Source organism: Homo sapiens, chromosome 9, assembly GCF_000001405.40.
Source record: "Homo sapiens chromosome 9, GRCh38.p14 Primary Assembly".
NCBI lineage: Eukaryota > Metazoa > Chordata > Mammalia > Primates > Hominidae > Homo > Homo sapiens.
The window spans coordinates 85,573,325-85,595,816 of record NC_000009.12 but is presented as its reverse complement, the minus strand read 5'-3'; the positions used below and the strand labels follow the sequence as shown (position 1 = coordinate 85,595,816).

The 22,492-nt window shown below is 34.6% G+C and overlaps 1 protein-coding gene across 24 annotated transcripts in view; it reads left to right on the top strand.

Moving 5' to 3' along the window:
* The window catches only part of AGTPBP1 (ATP/GTP binding carboxypeptidase 1), a 258,945-nt gene that overhangs the window by 209,667 nt on the left and 26,786 nt on the right, over window positions 1-22,492 (top strand). For 23 of the 24 annotated variants that reach the window (XM_047423094.1, XM_047423090.1, XM_047423089.1 and 20 more), the window contains 7 exons: window positions 3,113-3,257; window positions 6,136-6,289; window positions 7,339-7,519; window positions 8,857-8,986; window positions 10,223-10,354; window positions 16,721-16,897; window positions 20,342-20,502. In XM_047423094.1, coding sequence (XP_047279050.1) covers window positions 3,113-3,257; window positions 6,136-6,289; window positions 7,339-7,519; window positions 8,857-8,986; window positions 10,223-10,354; window positions 16,721-16,897; window positions 20,342-20,502 — 1,080 coding nt within the window. Of the gene's footprint in view, window positions 1-3,112; window positions 3,258-6,135; window positions 6,290-7,338; window positions 7,520-8,856; window positions 8,987-10,222; window positions 10,355-16,720; window positions 16,898-20,341; window positions 20,503-22,492 lie in introns of those variants that run through there. The other variant, XM_047423101.1, reaches the window with a different exon arrangement.

Sequence of the window (22,492 nt, the reverse complement as noted above, 5' to 3'; positions counted from 1 at the left end):
GGTGGCTCATGCCTGTAATCCCAGCACTTTGGGAGGGTGAGGTGGGCAGATCACCTGAGGTCAGGAGTTTGAGACCAGCCTGGCCAACATGGTGAAACCCTGTCTGTACCAAAAATACAAAAATTAACTGGGCATTGTGGCGCACACCTGTAATCCCAGCTACTCAGGAGGCTGAGGGAAGAGAATCGCTTGAACCCGGGAGGCGGAGGTTGCAATGAGCCGAGATCGCACCACTGCACTCCAGCCTCGGTGACAGAGCAAGACTCCGTCTCTAAATAAATAAATAAATAAAATAAATAAGTGCTAGAAATAATTTCCTACTTCTGTGGAATAGTTTGATTATTCTTCAGCTCCACCTCTAAGTACTCGAGGATTCTCATGTATCTTGCTTCTCATTTTTACTGTGTGTCTGCAAATGTTTCCAGCTAATGTTCACTGTTGATTCCACTTGGCACCCTTGTTTATTTGTTACTAAGTTCAATCCTGACATTTCTGTATGGTGAATTTTGACTTTTTAGATTGTGCTTTACTGGCACTAATGCCCTTGTTTTTTAGTTTTATCAATTAGAAGAAGGCTTCTAAAATTAAACTGTTTTGACATGGCTTTGGAAAAAACTTGGTGTTAAGTACTCCTACTTTCTGGGAAACAAAATCTTCCTTGGAATTCATCTCAGTAAGATTTCTTCCTTACTCTTATTAGCAAAATGAATAGCAAATAAATGAGAAACAGAAGTAAAGGTAATATGTAATTCATCTGCACCATAATACATCTTGTATTTCTTTTAGTGGTAGACTAATATAAAAATAGTCTTTCATCACTTGTCTCTTTCTCATAAAGTTGGGTGAAACTATCTGAGCAGTGCTTGGCTAGATTTTAGAATTATTTAGACTTTTAAAGAATGAAACAATGTTTTTCAAAAAGCATTCTTACTTTCATGCTTCTTTATGTTGTCACATTAGAAATTGTCAATCAATGAATGCTTTTTCACGTTGCAAAATGAATGATCATAGCAGGACAAGTTGTTCTATTCTGTGTAAGGGGTGATGGCAAAGATTTTTATATTTTTAATTTAGGTTCTGTCTTTTCTTTTGGCTACTACTTCCTGATCTGGAAGTAGAGTTCAATTCAACAAACATTTATTAACCACTTTCTATGTAAGACTCTATTCTAGTTGTTTTCCTGAAGCCTGAGGTATGTTTATTTATTTAAATTTTAATTTTTTTTTTTAAACACAGTCTTGCCCTGTTGCCCAGGCTGGAAAGCAATGGTGCAGTCCGACTCACTGCAGCCTCAAGAGCTTATCATCACTCCCAGGCTCAAGTGATCCTCTCACCTCAGCTTCCTGAGTAGCTGGGACTACAGTTGTGAACCGGCTAATTTTGTATTTTTTGTAGAGACTGGGTTTTCACCATGTTGCGATCCCTCTGCCTCAGCCTCCCAAAGTGCTGGGATTACAGGCATGAACAAAAGTGCCTGGCCTGAAATTTAGATGATAAAGATTAAAATCTGTTTTTGCATTGTGCCATAACTTTTCATGTCAGCTAAGTCCTATGATGCTTGTTTGTCTTCTCTATAAAATGGAATAAAACTGCTTTTCACCATTATATGAAATAATATATGTTTCACTGGTTTATAAACTAGAAACTGCCATATAGCTGTAATGTGGTAGTATAAATACCTCTCCAATTAAATGTTAAACTTTTGAGGGAAAAGAGTTGGCAAGGACTAGTTTTTGAACTTGTTTTGAATTTTTGTTAATCCTTAGCACTCTGTCATTGGGTATCTATTCAAGATAGTATGCATAAGTTAATGAAGACTATATCAATTTGAAAATACTTTGAACATTTATGTGCATGAAAAAATAACGTATAGGCCCTGGTTTTTCTTCATTTCATGGCTTAAATAATACAAGGTGATTCAGAATTTTAGAAATTAAGTTGTTAGAGCATCTTTAAGTCAGCATATGTCAGCAGTATTTCGAGTCTGGAAGGTAATGTATAGTTTTAAAAACTTTATTATGGAAATCTTCAAACATTTACAAAAACAGATAATAAGATAATGAGGCCCCATGTATTCATCACCCAGTATCAACAATTATCAACACATGGTGAGTTTTGTTTATCTATACTTTTACTCATACTTCCACAATGAATTTTTAAGTCCATTTTCGGATACCGTATTTTATCTGTACATACTTACATACGTATTTCTAAAAGACAAAGGCTGTTTAAGACAATCTTAACTACAATGCGATTATCACAACACAGAAAGATTAAGAAAATTTCTTACTGTGATGAAATATCCAATGTTCAGACTTCCCCGATTGCCTCTAAATGGTGTTTTATAGTTTTATTTAATCAGAATCCAGCCAAGGATCACACATTGCTTTTGAATTTTGTTGACATGTCCCTTAAGTCTGTGTTAATTTATAGGCTTCCCTTTTCTCTTTTTTTAAATTTCTCATTCATTCGCTAAAGAAGCTGGATTGTCATGTAGGGTTTTTCACATTTGGATTTTATTGGATTGCATCCCTGTGGTGTTAACAAGTGCTTCTGTTTCACCAATTTCCTATAAACTGTTAGTTAGATCTAGAAGCTTGATCAACTTCAGGTTTGGTTTTGGCAAGAATACTTAATAGGTGGTGCAATGAATTCCCATTGCATCACATCAGGAAACAACATCATCTCTGATTGTTTCTCTTTTTGTAATCTTAAGATTGATTAGTGAACCCAGGTCTTGTAGCCTGATCCATCCACGTAAAGGTGTCCATCAACCTTTCCTCTCTTGATTGTAGTAGCCATTGATGATCATTTTCTAGATTCAGTAACGTGTATGGATGTCAAAGAATGGGGTTCTAAAAATTTTTTTGACGTGAAGAGTATTAGCTCATTTAATTAGTAAATTCAGAAGTGAAAAGTTATGTAATGTCATTGGCTAATAATAGTTTACTGCTTTATTAGTACTAAGTTTTTTTAAAATAGGGTATTTAAGTTACACTTTTTACAGACTCGGGTTTTTCTTTTTTCCCTGAAGTTCTATTTAATAAAAGTAACAAGGAAAATCAGTTTTCATGTGGATGAAATGAACATGTTTTATGCGTTTTTATTGCAGAAATCATTTCTCAAGAAGTTCAGTTGCTGCAGGTGGGCAAAAGGGAAAATCCTACTATACAATTACATTTACTGTCAATTTTCCACATAAAGATGATGTTTGCTACTTTGCTTATCACTATCCATATACGTATTCAACTTTACAGGTAAGAACTCTAAATTAAATTGTATTATATGGATATGTATAAGATAATGGAAGAAAATTGAGTTTAGTTAAATATTCTAACATAAGGATAATGATAATAATTGAGTTTAGTTAAATATTCTAACATAAGGATAATTATACTAATTGAGTTTAGTTAAATATTCTAACATAAGGAAAATTAAGTTTAGTTAAATATAACATAAGAAAAGGGTTTAGTGTTGAAGATTTTGGAAAATACTACAGTATTTCTTGAGGAGTAAAATGGGAATGTAGCTCTTATTTTTTTTTAATAGAAATATTAAGAAACTTTGACATGATTTTTACTTCCCATCTTTTGTTGAAATCCACAGTTCTCTAAGCTAAGATTCCATGATTTACAATTTTTAACCAGGTGAGATTTCTGCATGTTTAACCAGAATCTCATAGAAAATAGAATATTAAAAAAATGTGGATGCAATTTGAGTGTTTTTGAAGGAAAAATTGAGATCTTTTTCTGAAGGAAATGGTTTTATTATGGAGACCTAGATCCAGATTTTTAAGAATCTAGGGTATAAGAGTTGTTTTGTGTGAAACCTTTTGAGATTTTGAATATAGCAAAATGAAACTAAAAACCAAAACTAAACAAACAAAGTCTAGTAATTAAATATCGACTGTGGTAGATTTATTCTCAGAACAGAATATCTATTCTAATGTCAAAGATCATGAAGATGTGATCAATTTACCAATAAAGAAATTGGAACACTCTAATTAGAAACAAGCTCCCAAATTATTAGAGAGGAGAAAATGAAAGAAAAACATAGTCTGTAGAGCAGAAGAGATATCAAACCTAAGAAGACTAAATGAGGCTGACAGCATTAAATGAGGCTTACTGTACTTTAAGAAAGGTTACAACCTACCATAAAGGTACAATGTTCATATATCTTTCTGTGCTTAGTAGTTTACTTTTGGGTAATTTATCCTAGGAAAACAAATAAGAATGCACATAAATATATATTTGCACTATTTTTATTTGCCTGGTTTTATGTTATTGTTCTTTACTGATTGTGCCTTTTAATATATTTTGAATTCTCCTGCTTTCTTTCAATCCCCCTACCATGATGTTTTCCAGGCATGACCATCGTTTCTCACCTGGGCTTCTGCCAACCTCTTTGTAACTAGTGTCCTAGGATTCAGTTTTGACCCCTTTGCTCTTCATTAGTTCCCGCTGCCACCCCACAAACCCCAGACTGTAGCCAGAGGGTTCTTTTATAGCTAATCTTATCATAAAATACCCTGCTTAAAACTCTTTAGTGATTTCCCTTGCCCTTTGTGTGAAGTCTAAAATTCTTACCGTGATTCACCCTGTCCTTTTTCTAGTACTCCCCCCCTTTTTTTTTTTTGCCATATCCACATACTATTTGAAGTATTATTTATTTATCTTTAAATAGACTTTAAAATATATTACTCTTTAAAGTGTATCCTCATCCTCAATTAATATCCATGAAATCATTTAAATTGTATCCTCATCCTCAGTTAATATCTGTGAAATGCATGAAAGATTTAATGTGCTAGACTTATTTCTGATTCACATAAAATATATACCTATAAAACTTTTAAAATGGTTATCTACATATCACTTAGTTATCTCAATTACCAGTGGTATGTATACTATGCTTTTGGAAAGACCTGTCTACCAGGCCCTTCATTCTGTGTCAGATTCTTTGTTTCTCACCTTTGTAGCTGTAATGAATCTTACTGAATTCTTTGAAATGCCCTGTTCTATCCTCTGGTCTTCCTAATATTTTTCCCTCTGCCTGCAGTACTCATCTCTGCTCTCTTGACTCATCCTTTGGAGTTTCATTTAAATGTAGTTTTCTGTAGAAGACCTTTCCTCACTGCCCAGACTTGGCTAGGCTCCCCTCCCCTTATTACAGGCTCTCACAGCACTCTCTATTTTCCCTAGGGTAGGGTTCATTTATTCATTGTTGTATCCCCAATGCCCTGTACAGTTTCTGGAAAATAGTGACCACTCAGTCAATAGTGATTTGTGAAAGAACATAGGCAAAAGTTTGAAAACCAACTGAATATCTAAAAAATGGGGGATTGAACAATTTATTTTTGGTATAACCACATAATAAGACCATTAAAACTTGTGTTTTCAAAAAATACACATTTAACATATTTAATGATGTGGTATAGTATTCATAATTAGGAATATATATGTTTATGTGTATGTATAAATTTTTAAGTGATAAAATCAAATTATAAAAGTCTGTAATCATGGTTTTGCTTACATACATTGTGTTAGTAGTAATCTAGGTGGTGCAATTGTAGATGTTTTAAATTTTTAAAACTTAAAAAAATTTTTTTCTTTGTAATTTTTTTGCTGTCTTTCAGACATTTTACAACAAACCCGTATTAATCTTGAAATCAGGAAAATAAATTGTTAAAATTGTGCTATATAATTTTTATTTTTCAAATTTTAGATTGTTGCTGTTACAGGTCTATTATCACTCACAATTTCAAAACTCAAAAGGCTTTGAAAACCAAAAGGTTTTTTGGAACTCGTTTGGAGGCAAAGCCTGACCTGAGTTTATTTAGAATATTGATTCTACTTAGGGTGATTCTTCATATGTTTTGCTGCACAAATAATGAGTGTATTACAGATTGCTACCCCGACCCTATTGGTGGTGCTGCATAATTAATGATTTAAACAATATATTGCCTGTTTCAAGTTTCCCAAACACTGATGTTTAGGCTACATCTGGCCCTGAGGGTTTTGGATAAGGGGTTAAGAATCTGATTCACTTCTAGTTATGTGGAGATCTGGATGCATTATTTCTGTATATCATAGGGACTTTTTAAGTGATTGTATATTTTGTTTTAAAATTTTTATCAAGATGCATCTTCAAAAATTGGAATCAGCACACAATCCTCAGCAAATCTATTTTCGGAAAGATGTGTTATGTGAAACCCTGTCTGGAAACAGCTGCCCCTTGGTGACTATAACAGCAATGCCAGAGTCTAATTATTATGAACATATCTGCCATTTCAGTAAGTTTGTCTTCCCAACTCACAATAGCAGTCATTCTCACCTACTTTGATTTGCTTTAACCGTATTTTATAATGGAAATGATAATAGGAACAGACATCAGAAGACTTGGGCTCTAGTCTTGGCCCTGCTATTATCTAGCTAGCCATGAGCCCACCTCTGGGCCTCAATTTCCTTATCCTGAAAATAAGGGGCTACATGAGATGTTCTCTGAGGTCTCTTTTGCTACCACTGTCGTTTAGTTCTTATCCTTAGAAATTGTATTCAAAGTAGAATACAACAAATTATTTTAAGAGGTCGTGTAATAGTATTATCAATTTAGAAATGGACTGATTTTACTTGTAAATAAAACAACCAGAAACCTATCAATTGTTTTGGTAGCTAGCACAGAATAGTTATTCATTTTTCCCTGCCATTTATATTTTTTTAAATTGCCTCAAATGTACAACTGTAGTAATAAAAATAAAACTTTCAATTTTGATAAGAAGGCGAAGTATTTCAGGAAACAGAGCTTATTGTGTATCGAAAATATGAGTGGTAAGCTGAATGATTATTTTGTAGACTTGTATATCTAAATGTATAGTGAAATTTTGGGGGCTAAATCTCTGAGCAGATAAACTTGTTTCTCTATGCTTATCAGAGCAACTGTAAGACAGGGCTAAAATTATATTTTATTTCTTTTCCCTATGATTTTATGAAAAAATAGTTTTATATTTTAAACTTCCCCCAAGTGCTTGTTCTTTATAAAATTAACATTATATTAAATAACGAATTTTACATGTTAAATTAGTCATTGGGAAATGAATAAGTGGATCAAATACTACTTACTGTTTTATGTCCTATTATGAGCTCCTTCGGGATATGGTTTTATTGATTTTATATTTGTTTATTTTATAGGGCCTAGTGCAGTGCTTGTAGGATGCACCATTGGGTTCTATTAATTTATATTAGAATTCACAATTGAGTTAGAGACATTTCTAAAGCCCCAAAGTAAAATATACAAACTTTTAGTAGCTGTTCATTTTAATTTGAGATTTTATGTGTACTTTAGGAAATCGCCCTTACGTTTTCTTGTCTGCTCGGGTACATCCTGGAGAAACTAATGCAAGTTGGGTTATGAAAGGAACGTTGGAATATCTCATGAGCAATAACCCCACTGCTCAGAGCTTACGAGAATCTTATATTTTTAAAATTGTCCCTATGTTAAATCCAGATGGTGTCATCAATGGAAAGTAAGTTAAGCAATAGTTGTAGAATATATTCAAGACCATTGTGGTTGTCCTGTATAAACTTGTTGAAATAACAATGTCCAGGTTAACAAACTTAGTGATTTTTCTAGAATAAAGAAATTTTTGGTGGGAAATTAAGATAAACTTTTAAATGAAAATACATTTTGGATACTATTAGCGATATGAAATTATTGATTTTATATTTGTTTATTTTATAGGGCCTAGTGCCCTATTCTGTATCCATGGGAATATGCTTTCATAAAATGCTTGAATTGTTTTAGAAAAATCACAATGTCAGGTTGTAAGAAAGGTTAACTCATACCTCTCATATTCCTTTATTTTTTTTTTATTAGTGGCATGAACCTAGATTGTTCTAAGATTAAGACTCTTCTGGGATCTCTTGGAATGTTAGCCCCATCTGCTAACCTCTTCTTGATATGAGGAGGTCTGGTTTTTGACAGGAGTTCTTTAGAGGGGGAATAGTGGAAGATAATTACTTTGTAAAAGGAGGCTGCATATAGTTAGTACAGTAAATTTATCCTGGTAATTTGACAAGGTCTCTGTAGTGCCACTCTGAAAGATGGGATTTAGTATAGTTGTCATGAGTATCTCCAAAGATGAGGATAACATGTCTTACTTCAGTGAAAGTAGCATGAATATTTCTCGTATTTTAGGAAATTACTGAATTTTTAAAATATAGAATTTCTTCTTAGTTAATATGTTATGGTTATGGAACTAAAATGTTGTCTATTTTTAATTGAGAAATATATTGACCAGTTAGAATTCTATTTATATTTATCATCACTTTATGATTATCTGCTTATTTGCATGATAGCTTTACTACTTAGTACCCGTAAATAAACAAAAAGGTATTTGATGTTTTACAACAGTGTATACTTTTCATATACTTGTCTTTCTCAGAAGAAGCACCTAGATAGCACTTTAATTGATGAAGTCAAGATATAGCATGCTAACATAACAAATGATTATTATGTAATCAGAATGGAAAATGTGATTATTAATACATTTTTATAAAATATGGAAGAAAACCTTGGAGTTAAGAATTTTTTCTATACTTTGAAAATTTTGATTATGAATCTGAAAACTTACCACAGTTAAATGCATGTGACACAAAATCTTGCACATAGCAAATACTCAATAAATGTTTACTTAATGAATATAGTATGCATTTGGTTGAGCTTACCATCTATACCTATTTGAAATGCTTAGTGGAATAGAAGCATAAAGTTAAATCAGATATGTATATAAGGGTTTAAGAAATGTATATAAGGGTTTATGGGTACCAGTGTTTTTCTGTCTTTGTGTTTATGTACATGTAGTCATCGCTGTTCTTTAAGTGGAGAGGATTTGAATAGGCAGTGGCAAAGTCCAAGTCCGGATTTACATCCTACAATTTACCATGCTAAGGGGCTGTTGCAATACTTGGCTGCAGTGAAGCGTTTACCCTTGGTAAGTAGCAATACTTGTTTTTACTTGGGATAGTCAAAGATAAAATATCATTTTTAATTATCAAGCACTTGTGTGATAATCATGAGGTCAAATTAATGCATTATGTTAGTTGTCTTAATTTTATAAGGTTGAATGTTTGTAATTCTCATAAGCCTTCTATTTTTTCCTTTTTCGTTATGAATATTGATAACTCTTGGTTGTAACTTTTAGATATTTAACTTCACTGTTTGAACAATACTAAGGTAACAATATGTATCTTCCAAATTCTCAAACTAGAAGCTTATTTCTGAGTTCTCTAGTCAGCTCTGAAGCTGTTAAGTCTCTACTACACACAGGGGAAATGTAGTACAGGCATGACTGGACTGGACTGTATACATACGCTCCTTCTGTTCTCACCAGCTTTTGATTAGAATGTTCCTGTTATATTAATGTGTATATTATGTAATCTTTCTTTAGGAAAGATAGAAAAACTTTGCAGAGGAGTAAAATTGACATGTCCTTTGTTTTTATTTATTTTTAAAATGATGCACTTAAATTAAAACCATACCCTTCTTAATGGTGTTTTTTTATAGGAGCATTTTCTTGTTTGTTGTTATTCTTTGTTTTTAATTTTTTTTTTTTTTTCGAGATGGAGTTTTGCTCTTGTTGCCCAGGCTGGAGTGCAACCTCGGCTCACTGCAACCTCTGCCTCCCACGTTCAAGCAATTCTCTTGCCTCAGCCTCCCAAGTAGCTGGAATTACAGGTGCCCACAGCCACGCCCAGCTAATTTTTGTATTTTTGGTAGAGACGGGGTTTTACCATGTTGGTCAGGCTGGCGTCGAAATGCTGGCCTCTGGTGATCCACCCGCCTTGGCTTCCCAAAGTGCTGGGATTACAGGCATGAGCCACCGCTCCAGGCCAAATTAGGTAAATGTTTTTACAACCATTTGGGGCAGCAATCACCACAACTGTAGATTTGAACTATAATGGAATGTGTTATTTCTTAAATGGTGAATAGTAAATACAAAGATGATATAGGACCTTGAAAGGATTTGGCAATTCTAGAATTAATTATAGATCCTTTCCCAAATTAGTTATTATTACTTTTGTTGGTTCTAATTGTTAAATGGTGGTTCTTTTACAATAAAAAGACCAAGGAACACAGACCTACATGTTTATTGGCTTGATATTAACTACCTTTACTTAGCAACATATGAACTTGAAGTCTTTTAATTTTTAAAATATATATTTTCAAGGTTTATTGTGATTATCATGGCCATTCCCGAAAGAAGAATGTATTTATGTATGGTTGCAGCATCAAAGAGACAGTGTGGCATACCAATGATAATGCAACTTCATGTGATGTTGTGGAGGATACGGGATACAGGGTAATTATTACAGATGATTCATAAGTTTTTGAATTTCAAACATGCATAAAAGTACAGAAAAGAACATATATGAACTACTCACATTCAATAAATATTGACATTTTGCCATTTTTGTTTCAGATTTTTCATTTTAAAAGTTTTTCATGTTTATATTTTTCATCTATTTGGAATTAATTTTTGTGTGAGATGTGGGGATCTAATTCTGTTTTCTCTGTGAATACCAGTTGGCTTGCACTATTAACTCGATAGTACCTCCTTCTGTCAATTTGATGATGCCATCTGTTACATACCTTATTTTGTATATATGGATGTATTGCAAGGCTATTATTATACCCATTCTTGTTTCTATCTCTTTGCATACAACATTGTTTTCATTACTGTAGGCTTATAATTAATATTGATATCATGTAGGGCAAATTTTCCTTTCTTGTTCTTTTAAAAATTGCTTTGACTCTTTTTTTCTCTGTACTTGTGAATTTTAGGATCCATTTGTGGATAAACTTTGTTGGAGTTTGCATTAGAGCTGCCTTGAATTTAAAGTTGGAGAGAATTATTATAATAATATGTAACATTGCTATCTGTGACCATTGCCTATGTGTCTATTTAGTCAAGTCTTTTATATTTGGTAAAGTATAAAATTTCTTCACCTAGGTGTGAAATGTTTGTTAGATTTCTTCACAAATACTTTATGAAGTTTGTTGCAGTTGGGAATGGAATTTTTCCCCACATACCTTCCTGCCCCCAGTTGATCATTGATGGTAGATAGGAAAGCTATTGATTTTTTTTCAGAAAAAATTTCTACAAATTTTTCAGATTCTTCTACAAAGGATTACATGTAAGAATGGCATCACATTTCACAGTAGCAAAACTGGAAGCAAAACTTTGTGGAGCAAAGCCTTCACAATTCTCAACTAGATTTCCAACCTGTAAATTTCATACCCCATTCTAACTATCAGCAAGTGTGAGAATAAAAAAGGATGTTCTCAGACATTTAAAGTCTCAAAAATTTACCTCACAAATAGCCTTTCTGTGGAAGCTACTGGAAAACATTCTTGCCAAAATAAAGGAATACATGAAAGAGGAAGGCATGCAGAAATTAAGTTCAAGAGAGAGACAAAGCCCAGGATAAAGGTGGAGGGAGAGCCCAAGAATGTGTGTAAAATGCCCAACATGTCAACAGTCAACAAATATTTCTGCCACACGACCTTCAGAAAATAGAGTTTTATTAGGTTAGACTGCATTAAATAAAGGAAACCAAGTAGATTAGTAGAGCTCAGTGATATAGAAAAGGGGAATATTTAGTTGAGACCCACATAAAAAAAAGATAAGAAAATGAGACTAGTGAGAGGCCCAGAGAATGGGAGAAAGCTAGATGAAGAGCATATGCACAGAGCCTTCCCTAGGCTGCTCTCTGGAACAGCACCATCATTGCCACCATTGCCTCACCCAGTCGTTTCTGCTTGGATCATACTTCACTTCTCAGGGAATTCTCACTTAGTCCCCAAAACGAAATCAGATCATACATCTATAGGATTCTCTCTCCTTCATAGCACTTAAGAATTATAATTGTGAGGTTTTCTATGTTATTTGATTAATGGGTTTCTCTTTATAATAGGTAGTAAGCTCCACATGCCTAGCAAAGATGTCTGATTTGCTCATTTTGACAACATTGCCACTATATAGCACAATACTTTATTCATAATAAGTACTCAATAAATATTTGTTGTTAGGTGGGTTGATGGATGAATGGCAGACAGACATGTGGGAAGGTAAATGCAAAACAGTTTTTCCATTGTAAGAGATAAAATGAACTCTCTTTGGTCTCAGTTTTTTTCATTAAAATTATCTTGTCTCAGATTTCTTTATTTGATTAATTTTTTGAATTTTGTTGTGAAAGGAAATGTAAGATGATGCTTTAATTAGAGTAAATAAAGCACCCAAATTTCATTTCTCAAGATGTTAACAGGTGTTACACACACACCTCCCCTCACCAGTAGTTGTGTAATTAGTTACGTCAGGTAATTGCATTAGACACAGTCAACTTTGTTTCTTTTCTTTAGGAAATGTAAGCTTCTTACATTTCCAGGGTTGTAGGGCAGGTGCGCATGTGGGTGTGTGTGCATGTGTGTCAAAGTGGAGTATTTCCCATAATTTTATAATCATATTAGTTCCTATTGCTGTTATAGCAGACTACAACAAACATAGCAAAACAAATTGATGGACTTACAGTTCTGCAGATCAGAAGTCGAAGGTAGCGCTCACTGGGTTAAAATCAGTGTCATCAACTACATTAATTTTTGAGGCCGTGTGGTAGAATTGTTTCCTTGTTCTCCACACCCCTAGCATGTCTGTGTTCCTTGCATCATGGTCCCTTTCAGCCAGGAATCAAATCTGACCTCTGCTTCCATTGTCACATCTCCTTCTCTCCTTCCGCTGCCTTCCCCTTTCCCTTATGAGAGCCCTTGTGATGGTAAGGGCCACTAAGATAATCCAGGATAATCTTAGTATCTCAGATTCTTAATTGACTCAAATCTGGACAGCCCCTTTTGCCATGTAAAGTAACATTCCTAGATTCTGGTGATTAAGACATTTTTGATGGTGACTACCATACCATGGAACCTTTTTTTTTGCAGATGGCTTGGGAAAAGATGCACTAATACACATAAATGCTATGTTTCTGATGATAAATCATAGTACTGCTTTGTCCTTTTAGTGCAAGTGTTTATGTTTTTGCGGGAAAATACAACAAATTATGACATATAAATGGAGTGTCTTTTTTTTTTGAGATGGAGTCTCACTCTGTCACCCAGGCCGGAGTGTAGTGGCACGATCTCGGCTCACTGCAGCCTCCGTCTCCCTGGTTCAAATGATTGTCCTGCTTCAGCCTCCCAAGTAGCTGGGATTACAGGTGCCCACCACCACTCCTAGCTAATATTTTTTGTATTTTTAGTAGAGATGGGGTTTCACCATGTTGGCCAGGCTGGTCTCGAAATCCTGACATCAAATGATCCGCCTGCCTCGGCCTCCCAAAGTACTGGAATTATGGGTATGAGCCATCGCGCCCAGCCTAAATTGTCATTTGAAAAAATAACTAATCAATACTCTTCAAAAGTGTCAAGATGATTTAAGTTATAAGACTGAGGAACTGTTACAGACTGCAGGAAGCTAAAGAGGAACAATAACTAAATGCAATGTGAGATTCTGGATAGGATCCTGAAACCCAGCATTAGAAAAACTGATGAAATTTGAATAAGGTCTATCAATAGTATTGCATCAATTCTAATTTTTTTGTTCTGATACTGAACTATGGTTAAGATATTAACGTTAAGGGTGACAGAAAAATGAAAATTCTTTGTACTGTTTTTGCAACTTTTCTCTAAGTTTAAAATTAGCTTAAAATAAAAGGTTTACAAAACAAATCTTTATTATTACAGGTTAAGTATCCCTTATCTAAAATGCTTGGGACTAGAAGTGTTTTAGATATCAGATTTTTTTTCTTTCTTGGAATATTTGTATTATATTTGCTGGTTCGAGCATTCCTAATCCCAAAATCTGAAATCCAAAATGCTCCAACGAGCATTTCCTTTGAGCATCATGTTGACATTCAAAAAATTTTGGAATTTGGAACATAATGGATTTTTTTATTGAAGTTAAATCATGTATTTGCTTCCAATAAGGGGAACATCATAGCATCCTTCCAATAAGGTGAACGTCATAGCATATGATGCTATGGAAATATGTAATTTAGCTTCCACAAAACTATTAGGTTTTTAAGGACGTTTTAATATTGGTAAATATTGTGGATAGTAGATCATCATTCCTGAATGAGATGACTAACAATAATGTAAATGAGGACTTTTGTTTATTTGGTTGACTGAGTATCCCTGATTCTTAGTAGGCATTAAGTAAATATTTGTTGAATGGATGGATGAATTAATTATAACTATAGACCAACATCTAACAATTATGTTACCGTATTTGTATTGTGCTTATAGCTTTTAGTATTGCGCTTATAGCCTTCATATGAATTTTCTGTGCGAGCCTCACAAAGCTCTGTGATGTAGGTAGGGATTATCATTGCTACTGTACAAATAAGTCCACTAAGACATCTGAGTCAGTTGACATGCTTGAGGCCTTGGCCAAAATATGGTGTGCCTAGGACTGAAATGAGCTGTGTTGCTTTAAGTCCTGCGTGCTTTCCATTTTGTCACAGTGCCTCTCTTCCTATGGTTATGCCTAAACAAGCACCCTAGGTTATTTTCCAAAAGACATTTTCGGTAACCTACTGCAGCTCTTAGCAGAACTTCAAAGCACATCTTCTTTCTGGGTGCCCTCTCTCTTCTTCCCCTTTCCCAAATAAATAAAATGGTTAGAATTATATAAAAAATGGGGAAACACTCCAGATTTATATAAAGGGGTAAGTGAAAGTTATCTTTTCCTAGTCATTCTCTTAATACTAGACAGTTTTACCATGTGTATTGTGAGACTTGCCTCTGAGCACATCCGTATAGATATGCATGTAGCATATGCAGTTTTTGTCTTTTAATGTTTTTTAAACACTACATAGCAACTTTTTCCCATGACAATATTTATTGATCATCTTTCCAGATCATCATGTCTGAATCTGTCTCAGTCTTTTAGTCAGATAAGATTTCCATTGTGCATTTTTGTTATTTTTGTAGACTGTACCCAAATTTATTTACTTAGTAGTCTCTGTTGATAGTCATTTAATAAGTATTGCCAAATTGTCCTTCATAAAGATTGTACAAATTGATACTACCAAATACCGTGAACGATAGTACTGTTTTTCCACACCCTTATTACATTGTACTATCATCTTTGCCAGGTGAAAATAATACCTGATTGTTAACTAGCATACCTATAATTATAAATAAGGTTGAGTTTTCTTATGTTTTGGTCAATTATGATCTGTGTCTTTTAAAATAGTCTTTTCTCCTATTTTCTGCTTACTTTTGTTCAGGTCATATAATGGCTTGAACCCGGGACGCAGAGGTTGTGGTGAGCAACAGTGCGAGACTCCATCTCAAAAACAAACAAAAAAAAAACTTTAGAATGAAAAAAAATCTTTCTAAGCCTCAAAACTCCAAAAAACAATTTATGAGAAATTAACAAATATGATAAAATTTCAAATTACTACACATCATAAACAAAAAATTAGAAAATATATTTGTAATATATAGAGAGAGTTCTTTTTTTTTTTTTTTGAGATGGAGTTTCACCCTTGTTGCCCAGGCTGGAGTGCAATGGTGCAATCTCGGCTCACGCAACCTCTGCCTCCTGGGTTCAGGCGATTCTCCTTCCTTAGCCGCCTGAGTAACTGGGATTACAGCGGCCTGCCACCAAGCCTGGCTAATTTTTTGTATTTTTTAGTAAAGACGGTGTTTCACTATGTTGGCCAGGCTGGTCTCGAACTCCTGACCTCATGATCCACCTGCCTCAGACTCCCAAAGTGCTGAGATTACAGGTGTGAGCCCGACCCATTCTGAAGTTTTAAAAGTACAGTTCCATGTTTACTATTTATAGTTTCATTTAAAAATATTTATTAATTTTAAGTTTATATTCTCAATCCAGCTAGAATTTAATTTAATGAAGAGTGACTTTAGATTGTTTTTCTTAGTGACTATCTAGTAGTGCCAATATTTAATGAATGATCAATCTTTTCTCCACTAATAATAATGATAATAAGTTTAATACATTTGGTTCTAATTCTGAACTCTTTCTTTCTAGAGATGCATCTGTTCCTATATCAGTATCACAATTTAATTTACTTTAGATTTATGAGCTAGTTTGATATGTTGGATTATTTCTCTAGTCATAGCCTTACACCCCCCCCCTCGCCCCACACACACACACACACACAATTTCTCAGGGTATACTTCTATATTTATGCTTTCGGGTGAAACTGATAATAATTTCAGTTGCAGAAAACTTTGGGGGTAGTTTTGATTGTGATTGTCTTAGCTGTATTAATTAATTTAGGGATGATTGGCATTTACTGTGTTAAATATCTCAATTAGTCTTTTATGACTAAATTTCACATTTTAAACATTTTTTTCATATTTTTAGACATGGTTTTCTCAAATGATTTTATTTTGCTTATTGGTTATACCGTGAATACGATTCTTCCATTGTTTTGTAACTGGATACTATATTTGTTTAGAAAAGCAGAAAATTTAAAATTAGTTAAGAGGATTGTTTTGCTGTTTGAATGGCAAGGGATATATAATAGAACATCCACATGGCTTTGCTCTAATTACTGTGTTTTCATCAAAACTTTTTAAAATTAAAAACATTTAAAATTAAAAACTTGGTTTATTTTATCATCATCATTCTTGTTTTTAACAGACATTGCCTAAGATACTGAGCCATATCGCCCCAGCATTTTGCATGAGCAGCTGTAGCTTCGTAGTGGAAAAATCTAAAGAATCCACAGCACGTGTTGTAGTTTGGAGGGAAATAGGAGTACAAAGAAGTTATACCATGGAGAGTACTTTATGTGGCTGTGATCAGGGAAAATACAAGGTAAAACATCTTAGGTTTTCTAACCATGAAAGATATTTGAAGACTTTCCTTTCATATATATCTTGTGGTTTTTAAGTATATATTAAATGATGTTTGTTTTATTGAGTTACATGTAATATGTAATAATGGAATCATATGCAGTCTTAAGAATAGGTTTTTATTTTTTGTTTTGTTGGTTTCTTTACTTCTCTGAACTAAATAGCTTACTTGGATCCTTAAGAAATTCTTGGTTGAGTCTGTTTATATTCATAATTTTTAGGAAAGCACATTAGAGTACACATTTACTCATTAGTAATTTATAATCTGTGTAAGTGATACCTTAAAAATTTTCTATTGTTTTAATTTATTGGATATAAATTTTTTTACATTTAAAATACATTATTTTTGTTTATAAAGCAGCAGGTTTGTTATATTTAGGTTTTTGTATGTGTAGCTATTATTTATGTGTTTGTTTATATTTTGAAAAATAAAAATAGAGACAGGGTCTCACCATATTGCCCAGACTGGTCTCAAACTCCTGGCCTCAAGCAGTCCTCCTGCCTTGGCCTCTCAAAGTTCCGGGATTACAGGCATGAGCCACCACAGCCAGCCTTATGTGTGACTTTTAAATACATATCCTGTTAGTAAACTTTTTTCTTCATTAAGACTACTCATTCATGGTACTGTAGGCTTTTACTGGAGATAATTAGAATTTAAACTTTACTTTTGAAATTAAATATTAGTAAAATGTTAGGTGATTTTGGATTTATTATTTATTAATTTTACAGATTGAAAACTTAATGTGCAATGAGTTGGACTTTAGATAAGCAATGAGCAAAACTGGGCATTTCTATTTCTTGCCTTGGCACAGAAAAATTTTCAGGTGTCGTGCTAATTATTCCGCTCATTCCATTTTGTTTGTTTCTTTTGTTATGGGGAAAGAGGATCTTGAATCTGAGAATGATTTTTATATACCTCACATAAAGATGGTAATAACTTTGTGTTTGAAAAGAAACATCTAACTGGTTAGCATTTAAAATGTAAACATATTATAGTTGATATGAAATATTTTAGGAGAGCTTAAATAATGACTTTTTCAGTCTGTAACAAACTGGAAGAAAGTTACATTGATTTTGCAAGTGATGTTTAAGTAAAGTAGAACTTACTTAAATAAGTATAGTAGTAGTAAAGTAGAATTTACTTAAATAAGTATAGTAGTAGTAAAGTAGAAATTACTTAAATAAGAATAGTAGTAGTAAAGTAGAACTTACTGAAATTCCAGTACTTTCTGTTCAGTGACTCTTCCCTGAATTTTAGGTTGATCACAGTGTGATCTTCCAAAGTGTAATATGAGATCTCCCTGAATATTGTAAAAACAGTGACTTCTAGTCAGTGTAGTTTACAAGGGCATGGTGGTGGTGAGAGAGAAAATGCAGCTTTAGCACCACTCCAGCTTCCAGCCCCTGTCCCCGATCATTGCTTCAGTGGACAACTGTTGTTAAGGGTCTCATTCAGTAAGTGTGTGGGATGGGGAAAAAACTTGAGAATCACTTTTTTATAAGAATATAGGTGATTTCTAGGAAAAAACCTTGGACTATGTGATTTATGGAAATACATTGTTAATTCTTAAAGAGATGACTTATGCAGTTAGGCTCAGAAGGTGACTTAAAGCATCACTGTCTCTGAAACTAGCTTCTGGGCAGTGGGGAAAGAAGCTGTCGGGACATCTGACTTGGATGCCCCTGAAATCATCCATAGTATACAATAGTAGTGCTTTGTCACTATATTTGGATTCTACTGATAGACTTTCATTGAATTTAAAAATTTTTTTCGATTTCTATTTTGATAAATTTGGTCATTTTAAAAACACAGATTTTTAAAAAGCTAAGATATATTTTGAAACATAAAATGTTAAACCATTTTTTCTAGTTATTTTTGTTTTTAATATATAAATATATAAACTTTTACAAATAAAATGGATACCTAATAAATACTCATTTTTCTTTGATATTGTTTAGTAAATAATGTATACATTGATTTAAAACTCTTACTGAGAGAAGTGTCTTACTAAGCCAGGGCTTTCCTTTAATGTCTAAAATGCAAGGTTTTGATCATAACATATACTTCTAAAAAAGTTAATAGACTTTATTTTTTAGAGCAGTTTTAGGTTCACAGCAAAATTGAGTGGAAAGCACACAGAGCTCCCATATATTCCCAACCTCTCCACACACACTTAACATCTCTTAAACTTGTTAGCTGATAAGTGTGTGAGTCTCATAATATTTTAGTCTTTTTCACCCTCAACAATATTTTTATCTTACTGAGTTTTAGGCTGTCAGTATTCTTTATTTTTATTGTCTATGAACTAATTCAGAAACATGTATAACCTTTCTAAAACTTACAAATTAAAAGGTCAAATGAAGGTTCTAATGAAGTCAGGTCATATTTCCTAGAATATTTGGGAGTTGGCCAAACTATTTAAACCAAAAAGTTGAAAAATTTAAAAATAACTGTAAAGTCATGTGCTTCATGTAGAGTAAGTAACAGTTGTTAAAGTTCATTTTCTTCAGTTACCGTGTGCCATAGGAACTCACTTAGTCTGGTCACTGAAAAGCAGTTTTAAAATACTTTCTCTTGAATTGATATCAGCTGTAATCTACACCTACAACTTATATAGGTGCAAGAATTTTGCCTTTTTTAGGGATTTATTTGTATCTGAAAAATAAATGATAAAGAAGGAGTATATTAATTTGTAGGCCATTTTTATGGTTTTATGTGATAACATTTAACTTTTGGTAAACCTTATATTACTTACTGAGAAACTATTTTTTAAAAAAGATAGGGAGGTTAAGATAAAATACTCTTTTTGCTTTAGTAGACAAAATTTGAAATGAGCATTCTGAATTGACATGGATCATAGGAATTTATTTGACCACTACTTCATTGGCTTAGATTTGATTCTTTTTTTGACAGTTACCTTTATTTGCTTTTTACTGATCAATTTCTCTTATCATACAGTAGAAGTATCTATAAAGTAATGTTCAAATGTACATATTGGAGCCTTGATTTTAATACTATAATATTTCAACATTAGCATACGAAGTAGTGGATTACAAGAAATACTAACAAGCTCTTGTTAAAATACAGTTTGTCACATGAATTCTACAAGTAACGTCACAAAGTGTTACTGTATTTTTTCCCCCTAGTGTGATGGTGAAAATAGTTTGCATCATAGTGAAAGAGAATAGACATTTTAGAAATTGTCTTTTAGGACAGTTTCCTTTGTGACTTAAAATAATCTTGTATTGTTAAGATGTTAAACTTGTTGAGTCCTAGTTCCATACAAAGTACCAGCCTTTTAATTTTATTAATATAGTTATAAATTCTTTTTATATAATTTCATTGAGCTGTATCCAGAAGATAGCAAACTTTGTAATTATATGCATAATATTTGTTTATTTCAAGGGTTTACAGATTGGTACCCGAGAACTGGAAGAGATGGGAGCAAAATTTTGTGTTGGTCTTTTACGTTTGAAAAGACTGACCTCTCCATTGGAGTATAATCTGCCTTCCAGCCTGCTTGACTTTGAAAATGATTTAATTGAATCAAGCTGCAAAGTAACTAGGTAGGAAAAAATTGTTTTTTCTTTTATTATATTGTAGTATATTATTAGACTTCATTAAAATAGCAGAAAAGGCATGGAAATTTTGACAGGCAAGAGCATGTTTAGAATTAATATAATTAAGTTAATACATCAAATATTTGTTCCAATTTATATTGCTGATTCTTTTAATGTTGATATTTGGATGAGATTTTAATAAAAATATATTTCAAGTATTTTTAGTGGTTGTACTGGTTTACTTTTAACCCCAAAATGAACAGTGTGAGAAATATTATACTTAGCTAATATCTAAGTTAAGAGGGCTTAGACAGCTGAGTGCAGTGGCTCATGCCTGTAATCCCAGCACTTTGGGAGGCCGAGGCAGGTGGATCACCTGAGGTCAGGAGTTCGAGAACAGCCTGGCCAACATGGTGAAACCCCATCTCTCCTAAAAATGCAAGAATTAGCCGGGCATGGTGTTGGGTGCCTGTAATCCCAGCTACTTGGGAGGCTGAGGCAGGAGAATCACTTGAACCTGGGAGGTGGAGGTTGCAGCAAGCCAAGATTTCACCACTGCACTCTAGCCTGAGCAACAGAGGGAGACTCTATCTCCAAAAAAAAAAAAAAGGCTTAGAGTCAGGAATATTTCAAAAGATTTTGTTGATGTCTACACACATCAGATGGCTGTCCAGTATCCTTCTGGTTATATATATCAGAAACAGCTAATTTAGCATTCCTTTGAAAATTGAACTACATCTGCCAAATATACTTCTAAATAGGTAGTCTTTTTCTCCTAAAAGTTAGTATATACAAATTTGATAAGCTGTAGGCTCAGAGATAATTTCATGTCATAATTCTTTTTTTTTTTTTTTTTTGATCATTCTTGGGTGTTTCTCGCAGGGGGGATTTGGCAGGGTCATAGGACAATAGTGGAGGGAAGGTCAGCAGATAAACAAGTGAACAAGGGTTTCTGGTTTTCCTAGGCAGAGGACCCTGCGGCCCTCCGCAGTGTTTGTGTCCCTGGGTACTTGAGATTAGGGAGTGGTGATGACTCTTAATGAGCATGCTGCCTTCAAGCATCTGTTTAACAAAGCACATCTTGCACCGCCCTTAATCCATTTAACCCTGAGTGGACACAGCACATGTTTCAGAGAGCACAGGGTTGGGGGTAAGGTCATAGATCAACAGGATCCCAAGGCAGAAGAATTTTTCTTAGTACAGAACAAAATGAAAAGTCTCCCATGTCTACTTCTTTCTACACAGACGCAGCAACCATCCGATTTCTCAATCTTTTCCCCACCTTTCCCCCTTTTCTATTCCACAAAACCGCCATTGTCATCATGGCCCGTTCTCAGTGAGCTGCTGGGTACACCTCCCAGACGGGGTGGTGGCCGGGCAGAGGGGCTCCTCACTTCTCAGACGGGGCAGCTGCCGGGCGGAGAGGCTCCTCACTTCTCAGACGGGGTGGCTGCCAGGCGGAGGGTCTCCTCACTTCTCAGACGGGGCGGCCGGGCAGAGACGCTCCTCACCTCCCAGACGGGGTCGCTGCCGGGCAGAGGCGCTCCTCACATCCCAGACGGGGTGGTGGGGCAGAGGCGCTCCCCACATCTCAGATGATGGGCGGCCGGGCAGAGACGCTCCTTACTTCCTAGATGGGATGGCGGCCGGGAAGAGGCTCTCCTCACTTCCTAGATGGGATGGCGGGCGGGCAGAGACGCTCCTCACTTTCCAGACTGGGCAGCCGGGCAGAGGGGCTCCTCACATCCCAGACGATGGGTGGCCAGGCAGAGACGCTCCTCACTTCCCAGACGGGGTGGCGGCCAGGCAGAGGCTGCAATCTCGGCACTTTGGGAGACCAAGGCAGGCGGCTGGGAGGTGGAGGTTGTAGCGGGCCGAGATCACGCCACTGCACTCCAGCCTGGGCACCATTGAGCACTGAGTGAACGAGACTCCGTCTGCAATCCCAGCACCTCGGGAGGCCAAGGCTGGCGGATCACTCGCGGTTAGGAGCTGG